Genomic DNA, 10,474 nt, shown 5'->3' on the forward strand with positions numbered 1-10,474 from the left:
CACTTTGAGAGGCTGAGGCAGGTGGATCACGAGGTCAGGAGATTGAGACCATCCTGGCTAACATGGTGAAACCCCATCTCTACTAAAAATACAAAAGTTAGCCAGGTGTGGTGGCTGGTGCCTGTAGTCCCAGCTACTTGGGAGGCTGAGGCAGGAGAATGGCTTGAACCAGGGAGGTGGAGGTTGAAGTGAGCCGAGATCATGCCACTGCACTCCAGCCTAGGCTACAGAGAGAGATTCCATCTCAAAAAATAAATAAATAAATGTAAATAAATAAATAAAAATAAAAAAAAAACAAATTTCTTGAAAGGACCGCGTTAGAAGGTATTAAAAGCATCATTGAGTAGGGAATGGTGTGGAGAGAGATGGGTTAAAATTATCCTGAATATTACAAAAGATTTTTTCTAAATTACCTGAATAGGCAATTTATTTTATAGTTCAAAAATGAGCTGGTCATCTAGTTGGAATCCTAATTATTTAATACTGAGGATAGAATTATTTGAGCTATGCTGAGAAGATTGTAAACATTGTTTTCTTTCATATAGCCTTGAGTCAGGTGACATGTAATAGGGCTTACACCATCACTGTCTACTTCCTCTCTTTATAATTAAGAACTTGAGCATGTATCTGGAGTAAAGTATATTTCAAGTACAGTCTCTTAAATTATGATTAAACACTACTTGTGGTATTAAAGTTTTCTCAGTTGATTTGTTGCAATTCTGATTACATCAAAATAAACTGTCCCACCAAACCCACTGCTATTCAGGAACACAATCTAGGCTCTGCAAATGACCTTCCTCAATGTTGAAGGCTAGTCATTAGGTAGAAACTGAAAATCTGAACCTAAGCCCTAATCACGGGCTCTCCTTCTTCTTTTTTTTTTTTTTTTTTTTTTTTTTTTTTTGTGAGACAGTGTCTTGCTCTGTTGCCCAGGGTGGAGTGCAGTGGCGTGACCTCATCTCACTGCAGCCTCCCCTTCCTGGGCTCAAGCGATCCTCCCATCTCAGCCTCCTGAGTAGCTGGGATTACAGGCATGTGCCACCATGGCTGGCTAATTTTTCTTCTTCTTCTTTTTTTAAATTGTTGTAAAGACGGGGTTTTGCCATGTTGCCCAGGCTGGTCTGAAACCCCTGGGCTCAAGCAATCCTCCTGCCAAAGTGCTGTGATTACAGGTGTGAGCCACCGCACCCAGCCTGGGCTCTCTATTTTTTTATGGTTTCTTTAAATATTAAAGAAATGTACATTCATAAGGACATATTTTGTATCTCTTTTGGTCATAAGTATATCCTAATAAATATTCATAGTAGGGCACATTAAATCTTCGTTTAATGTACCTAATCTTCCTTCCCCCGAAACAACTGTTTTGAAGTTAGGCTAAAGTGGTGTAAGTACTGGTGTTGGGGAACATTCATTCTAGATGACCTCACCTTCGGGTAGCTGAATACTCAGGCTTTGTGCTGTGTCAGTGAAGGAACCAGCGAAGATGAGGGGTCATACCAGAGCAATGAGTGCTGTAATGTGTCCATCACTGTGAGTATTGATTACCATTTCCTTTTCTGGATTCCAGGTAAACCTCAGGTTCTCCTCCTGCCTTTTGCTAAGTATATGTCTTGATGACAAGCCTTCTGCTGATGAGCTGTGTTTCTGGACCGATCATGGTAGAAGTCAATTAACGTGTCCCTCACTTGGGGTTTCTCAAGGGTATGTTACCACAAAGACTCTCATACACCCTTTTTTCTGATCTCCCTTTCCCATTCTACACTTGTGTGCTGAATCTGTTTAGCATTATAGTTAGTACACTTACACGTCCACTAAAAAGTGGAAATTAATTTAATTACCAATGAAGTAACAAGAATTTAGTTTGGCAATGGATTTCTTCTATAATCCAAAGCCAAGTTACCTTTCCACTCATGGTTCTAAAGATTACTCAACTGTGTAAATCATCTGTGCCACATGGAATAACTCAAAGTAAGTTCTTTCACCCCCTACTCATTCTAAGTACACCAAATAAAACTCTGCCTCTTTTGGAGAGTTCATACACTGTTCAGAGAAGGCTGTGAGGTATTTATGATATCTAATCCAGAAGGAACTCAAGTGATGTTTGTTTTAGAAATAGAAAGCAAAGAATGATTATGCTGCAAATATTATCATGAAGACATTTATAAATATATTACAAATGCATGTTTCCCGCCAAATAATTGACAAAACACTATTACTTGCCTTAAAAATAATGCACAATTAATGAATGCAAGAAATTAAACCTCCGTACCATGATTTTTATATTCAAATAATTTGCTTTTACCTGAAAATGAACATATTTGATGAATTACTGTAGAGGTGATGGAATCACTGTATAAACTTACTGCAAAAAGAAGATACTTTTCTCCTTCCATCTTTAACCTCTTAAAAAAATTCCTCTGGTGCAATGATTATAACATAAAATGAAACACTAATGAAAGCAAAAGAGCAGAAACCTAAACCAAGCAAGTTAATTCAAATATTTGCTTCACTTCAGTAACATAACATATCATTTATTGGGTCATGGTTTCACTTATGTAAAATGATGAGCATAGTGAAGATATATGTATGTGTGTATATATATATATACACACACAATTATTTAATATATGTATATACGTACTTATTTAATAAATAATGAGATAAATTTTAAAAATGTTGGAATAAAATAATACATAATGTATTTTAATTATATCTTTTTGGTTTTTAAATAAAACTGCAGATCTTTCAATATATTTTTTGATGTAAAATGTGAATAGAAATGTTCAAAAGATCATATCTGTATCTCCAGTGTGGGCAAGTTTCACTACTGGAAATGAGATTGTTGACTGAGAAAAAAAGAATGCTATTTCCCTTTCTGTAAACATATGATGCTGATATTTGATCATTACATTTTATTATTTTATAATAAAATAAAAATATTGAGTGATAATGATTTTTGTTATATTTTAAACTGATATATTCAGGTTTCATTCAAAGTAATGCACAAACATATTGCTACCATTTTTATTTAAATCCAATCTTTGAGCAGAATATATATATTGTTTTTCAAAGGCATTTGTTAATAGAGAGTAGAAAGACGATGTTATATATTGTTAAAAGTTTTTCCTAAGCTTGATTTTTAGAAAAGAGGAAGAAGAGAGGAGAAAAAAAAGAAGGAAAACAAACAGAAGAAGAAAATGAAGGCCGTAATTCTGCAACCTTGTACTACCCATACATTTGCTAATTTTTTTTGTTTCTGTTTCATGTGCTTTCCTCTTTGCTAATGGTCACATGCATTCATTGAACCCTTCAAAACTGCCACAAATATGATCTCAAGTTAAAGGAAATTTAAGTGCCTATTGGCTAATGAGTAGGGTTGAATTTTGTATGATGTCGCCATGTGTCTGGTATTCTGATGTGCCATAGTGAAATCTGATCCAGGTTGTTGCCTTTTAAATCAACACGTTGGACAATGACTGTTATATCCTCAAGGAACAGGAGTGTTAATGGCTAAGTACCACGGTAATTGCAGCACATACGGATAGAAGTTAGGCCTGGTGGAATTTAGGACTCATGGAATAGTGCTTTTAATAGGACTTAAAGTACAACTTGGAATATGGGAAGAACATATTCTATATTGTACATTGCAAATAATTAGGGATAAAGAGTATCATACTGCCGAACCCATTTTATCTTTAATTTTTTTTTTAAATTTTTTACAAAAAATTAGCCGGGTGTGGTGGCGGGCGCCTGTAGTCTCAGCTACTCAGAGACTGAGGCAGGAGAATGGCGTGAACCCGGGAGGAGGAGCTTGCAGTAAGCGGAGATCGCGCCACTGCACTACAGCCTGGGTGACAGAGTGAGACTCCGTCTCAAAAAAAAAAAAAAAAAAAAATTGTAATTTTTATGGGTATATAGTAGATGTATATATTTCTGGGGTATATGAGATATTTTCATACAGGCATGCAATGCATAACAATTACATCAGGATAAATGGGGTATTTATCACCTCGAGCATTTATCATTTTCTGTGTTACAAATATTCCAGTTATACTCTTTTAGTTATTTTTATATGTACAATAAGTTATTGTTGATTGTAGTCTCCCTGTTTTGCTATCAAATATTAGATCTTATTTATTCTAAGTGGTTTTTTTTGTACCCATTGACTGTACCCATTCTCCTCACCCCCCGTCTCCGACTATCTTTCCCAGCCTCTGCTAACCATAATTCTACTCTCTATGTCCAAGAGTTCAATTGTTTTAATTTCTAGCTCCTACAAGTTAAGAACATGCGAAGTTTGTTTTCTGTGCCTGGCTTATTTCACTTATCATGTCTTCTACTTTTATCCATGTTGTTACAAATAATAGAATCTCATTCCTTTTTTTTTTTTTGGCTGAATAGTACTCTATCGTGTATATGTACTGTATTTTTTTTTTTTTTTTTTTTTTTTTTTGAGAAGGAGTCTCACTCTGTCGTCCAGGCTGGAGTGCAGTGGCACAATCTCGGCTCACTGCAAGCTCTGCCTCCCAGGTTCACGCCATTCTCCTGCCTCAGTCTCCCAAGTAGGTGGGTAGGTGGGATTACAGGCACACGCCACTACGCCCAGCTAATTTTTTTTTTTTTTTTTTTAGTGGAGACAGGGCTTCATCGTGTTAGCCAGGATGGTCTCGATCTCCTGACCTTGTGATCCACCCGCCTTGGCCTCCCAAGGTGCTGGTATTACAGGCATGAGTCACCGCGCCCGGCCTGTATTTTCTTTATCCATTTGCCTGTTGATGGACACTTAGGTTGTTTCTAAATCTTGGCTATTTTGAGTAGTGCTGCAATAAACATGGGAGTGCAGATATCTCTTTGATGCACTAATTTCCTTTCTTTTGGGGTATATATCTAGCAGTGGGATTGCTGGATCATGTGGTAGTTTTATTTTTAGTTTTTTGAGAACCTTCTGTACTGTTCTCTATGGTGGCTGTTGTAATTTGGATTCCCACCAACAGTGTATGAGAGTTCCATTTCTCCACATCCTTGCCAGTATTCATTATTGTCTGTCTTTTGGATCAAAGCCATTTTACCTTGAGTGAGATGATATCTTCTTGTTTTGATTTGCGTTTCTCTGATGATCAATGAGGTTGAGCACCTTTTCATGTATCTTTTTGCCATTTGTATGTCTTCTTCTGAAAACTCTCTTTTCAAATCTTTTGCCCATATTTAAATAGGATTATTATAATTTTTTCCTATTGAGTTGTTTGAGCTCCCTATATATTCTGATTATTAATCCCTGGTCAGACGGATAGTTTGCAGACATTTTCTCCCATTCTATGGATTGTCTCTTTTTGTTGATTGTTTCCATTGCTGTGCATAAGATTTTTAACTTGATGTGATCCCATTTGTCTATTTTTGCTTTGGTTGCCTGTGCTTGTGAAGTATTACTTAAGAAATTTTTTCCCAATCCAATGTCCTAGAGAGTTTCTCCAGTGTTTTCTTTTCATAGTTTCCTAGTTTATGATTTCAGATTAAGTCTTTTAATCCATCTTGATTTGATTTATGTAGATGGGAAAATAGGGGTCTTAGTTTCATTCTTCTGCATATGGATATCCACTTTTCCCAGTATCATTCATTGAAGAGACTGTCCTTCCCCAATGTATTTCTTGGCGTATTTGTTGAAAATGAGTTTGTTGTAGTTGTATGGATTTATTTCTGGTTTCTCTATTCTGTTCCATTGGTGCTCAGCCCTTTTTCTTATAAATAAATGCCTTAAAACCCATCAAACGAAAAAGAAACCCTTTAAGTGTATACAACTATCTATCAACCATATAAGGAGCATAGCTGGAGAGGAAAACAAATCATGACACAATCCCTCTCCACAAAAGGTTTACAGTTTACTAGGGAAAAAGAAGAAAAAAATAAACTCTCTGCCTCTCTCTCTCTCTCTCTCTCTATATATATATATATAAAATATATGATATATATATGTGTGTACATATATGTATGTACATAAATATGTGTGTATATATATGTATATATGTATATGTACATCTCTCTATATACAATACACACATGTAAAATCAGTTTATGTGATATGATATAGGCAATACGTTTTATTAGAACTTAACATTGAATCATGTGCAGTGAAATACAGGTGATCCCTAACATTAAATCATGTGCATTGAAATGCAGATGATCCCTAATTTATGATGATTTGACACACCATTTTTCAACTTTATGATGGTGCAAAAGCCATATACATCTAGTAGAAATCATAATTCGGTACAGTATTCAATATATTTCATAAGATATTCAATACTTTATTATAAAATAGGCTTCGTGTTATATTATTTTGGCCAACTGTAGGCTAATGCTCATGTTCTGAGCACATTTAAAATAGGGTAGGCTATGATGTTAGGTAGACTAGCTGTATTAAATGCATTTTAAACTTATGCTATTTTCAATTTATTATGGGTTTTTTGGGACATAGCCCTATTGTAAGTCAAGGAGCAACTGCAGTTCTGTTGAAGAGGTAGATTTGCAACCAGATCTTTGGAGAGGAATAGAATTCAAATAGGAGAAAGAGGAAGAGAAGGAAAGTAATAAACATTACTATCGGAGCACCACCAATACAGTATAAAATAGAGCCATAGGCCTTTTTGGAAAAGGATGAAGCATAGATCTGGCCATGATTACCTATGGAACTATGCTTGGCAGGAGGGTAACAGGGAGGATTTATGCTGGTGGAATTAAGAGGGATAAAGACAGAATTCTGAAAAAAACATCCCTGAATACACTCTAGCCCTTGATCAGGAATAATAGGTATAGATCCTACTCTGTTTTCCCATCTTTTTAGTACGGGAAGGCAAAGTAATATTTTCCTATCCAAGAACAACTGCATTCACATTTAAAAGTGCTTCTTGTTTAGGTATCATCTTACCTTTATGAGATTTCACATCGTTATGATAGATTTTGGATAATGAAGTTAGGAAAAGAGATGTCATTTTAAAGTAGAAGTGTTTATGTCAGTCAGCGCTGCACGTACTGTATTATTACATGTGTATAACAAAGTTCTCAGTAGCAACTGTAACAGTTCAGGTTGCTATTCATAGATACATTCACTTTATTTCACCAGCTTTTAGCTTTCTTCAAATGTTTACATGAAGGTGGGGTAGGAGACAGGAGAATAATGTGGCTGTGATTATGAGGCTTTCTGCAACATAATAAACCAAAACAGTAATGCAGAAATGATTTGAAAACAAATCCCTGGGTTTAAACCTACGCACCAGAAGAAAGAAGAGGGTCTGGTGATCTGAAAACAAAAATACCCAGCATAGAAATATAGACCACAGACATATCCCCTAAAGCAAAGAACTCAAGAGGACATTTGCTTGGTGGTTACAGCTTTGGAGCCAAACGGCCTGGATGTAGATCCTGGGGTCATCATTTGCTATCTGTGCAACTTGGGAAAATTGCTTCACTTCTACAGGCCCCAATTTTCCCATCATAACCTGCCTCATAAAGTTGAAATGAGGGATGAAAGAGTTACCATTTGTTAAAATCTGAGAACAGTGCTCAGCAGGTGTCACTCAAATAGTGGGAGCATGTACAGATGCTCCTTGACTTACGATGGGGTTATGCACCAATAGACCCATTGTGAGTTGAAAATATGGTAAGTCAAAATGCACTTAATAACACCTAATGTACCACCTAATGTATCACAGCTTAACCTAGTCTACCTTAAACCTGCTCAGAACACTTACATTAGCTTGCAGTTAAACAAAATTATCTAACACAAAGCCTATTTTATAATAAAGTGTTGAATATCTCATGTAATTTTAAAAATACTGAGCTGAAGGTGAAAAATTGAATGATTATATGGTACTTAAAGTATGTGTATCACAAAAGTGATGCATGTTCAGTAGAAATGAATGTGTAAAGTCATAGAAATCATAAAGTCGAAAAATTATGCATCAAACCATCATACATATGGGACTGTCTGTAATGTATCATCCAAAGCAGAACACTTTTAATAGAAAAAGGGGGTGCTAAAAGCATTAAAGTTTATATGATATTTTGAAATGTTTATTTATTGATCACAAAAGGTCTATGTATAAACTAATATTAGCTTATTCAAAAAATATTTTCAAAAGGAAAACTTTTTAAATATAATATATATTCATAACCATTAAAACAAAATATTTTATTTATTGAATATTATGAAGAAATAAAAATAGAACAATCATTTCTGGTATATTTTCATGAACCTTAGTCCATTTTCTTTTTTAAACTTTTATTTTAGTCTCTCTCTGTCACTCAGGCTGGAGTGCAATCACACAATCATGGCTCATTGCAGCCTCAAACTCTTGGGCTCAAGCAATCCTCGCTCTTCAGCCTCTAAGCAGCTGGGACTATAAGCATGCACCACCACGCCTGGCTAAGTTGTTTTATTATTTTTGTACAGACAAGGTCTTATTATGTTGCCCAGACTAGTCTCCAACTCCTGGCCTCAAGTGATCTCCCTGTCTCAGCCTCCCAAAGTGCTGGGATTAAAGGTGTGAGCTACCATGCCTGGCTAATTATTTTTTTGTTTGTTTGTTTGTGTCTGTGTCTAATATTGTGTTACTGGTTTTGGTCCCTAAAACAAAAAAACTCTGTTTCTCTGTGTTTTTATTTTTAATCTTTTTGAAACAACTTTATTAGGGTATAATTTATGTGCCCTAAAATTTACCCATTTTAGTATACAAATTAATGTTTTTAAATAGATTTACAAAGTCGTGCTAACATCTTCATAAAGGCTTTCATTTTTTTAAGTTTTTCATAAAATTGCCTGCAAAGTTCTTCCAAGTTTCTTTTCATGGTTAGTTAACTTGAACATATTAATACCTTTAACTGACTCTTCTTTATGGGCCATAATATTTTAAATGAGGAAATTATCAGTTAACAGGTAATGAAGTGCTTGGTAAGTAGAATTTAGTAGCAAATTCTGCTAAAGAGTGGATATTCTGACTTCTAATTTTCTTAAGTATAAAAATATGCACATAAAAGCAGGACAAAGAGTGAGTAGTGAATTGTGGGGTTGGCAGGCAGGATGTAGTATTAAAGTAGTGTCAATTTTAAAAATCAAGTAACACATAACCACTAAACTGGTTCTATGCCAGCATCAGTTTATAACACTGTAATGCCACATATCTAATTTTAAATTTTTTAGTAGCCACATTAAAAATATAAAATTAAGCAAAAAATAGTAAAAATATGAATGTGATTCCACCTAAATATTTTCACAGGTACTGACTTTTTGCTTCATTTGCATTCACTTTTGCCAATGCATAACTATTTTTATAAGATGCCACTTTTCAGGAAAACAAAGTTGTCATGATTAAATTTTCAAGATCTTTTACAGGACAATTTTAGAATTTAAAAGGTAAATATTGAACACTATTTGAGCATTCATTGTTTAAATTTCTCAGTTTTCCCTTTGTCATTACAAGTATAAATTTTAATTCTTTTTTGTTTGCGAGGCTTGTTTTTCATTATCCTATATTACAAAACTGATCATTCAAAATGACAATTTCTGGGGCCTCATTTAAAAAAATACTTTAGGGAGGACTTCCAAATGATTACTAAGAGTAATATAAAATTATAAAAGTTTTAATACTATTTTAGAATATTTAGGTTTTCTTATAAAGCAGCTTTTCAAAGGCTCAAACATTTTTAAAATCGATTTGTTGATGGACAATGAAAAAAATTTATTGCTATTTTTTATATAAAATTATCGTTACTCATCTGCTTCATCCAAAAAATTCTGTATTTTAGTTAGTCCTGAGGTGTAGAAATTTTTAAAAATTATAAATTCTGACTACAGATACTTCTATTTCAATTGGAGATTTTCATAGTTTGGAAACAAAATTATAAATTATGTATGCAACCTAGCCAATTCAAGTGTATTTCTGTTCCAAATGTTTCTTAATTTAGTAAGAGTATTTTTTAAATGATAATTTCCTTTACCAATATTTATATTTATGTTATAATTACAGAACAATTTTATTTTTAATTTTAACTTTTAATTTTAATTTTTAATTTTGATTCATTTTAGCAAAGCGAACTACTCTAAACTTCCCTTTGATTTTATAAATTGGATGAAAATACTGATTATGGGAATTAACTTGTCCTTTTGAAGGATCTTTCTTCATATATATACATACATAATATTTTCCTACTGTAGTGCTTGTTGAATTTATTACCCATGTACTATATTTAAGGCATTCTAAAAATGCTTGTCCCAAAGGCAGTCAAAGATGGCTTTTTAGAGGATGCAATGCCTAAGCTAAGTCTTTTTTTGTTTCTCTGAAGGATCTAATCAAAAGAATACAAAACTACCATCATTTCACCATTTACAAAGTTCTTCTGTTAATAGAGCCAATACATCAGCAGATATCATTTCCACTTTTGTATGTACATAAGAAAATTTGGTCTGAAACCTGAGCAAAAT

At 34.2% G+C, this 10,474-nt stretch overlaps 1 long non-coding RNA gene across 1 annotated transcript in view; it reads left to right on the forward strand.

Moving 5' to 3' along the window:
- Window positions 1-10,474, forward strand: part of LOC100505498 (uncharacterized) — a 257,710-nt gene that overhangs the window by 164,030 nt on the left and 83,206 nt on the right. Inside the window, exon 4 of the long non-coding RNA XR_923410.3 lies at window positions 1,568-1,701. This is a non-coding gene — a long non-coding RNA (uncharacterized LOC100505498). The remainder of the gene's footprint in view (window positions 1-1,567; window positions 1,702-10,474) is intronic.

The sequence above is a fragment of the Homo sapiens genome, chromosome 2 (genome assembly GCF_000001405.40).
Source record: "Homo sapiens chromosome 2, GRCh38.p14 Primary Assembly".
NCBI classification, from domain to species: domain Eukaryota; kingdom Metazoa; phylum Chordata; class Mammalia; order Primates; family Hominidae; genus Homo; species Homo sapiens.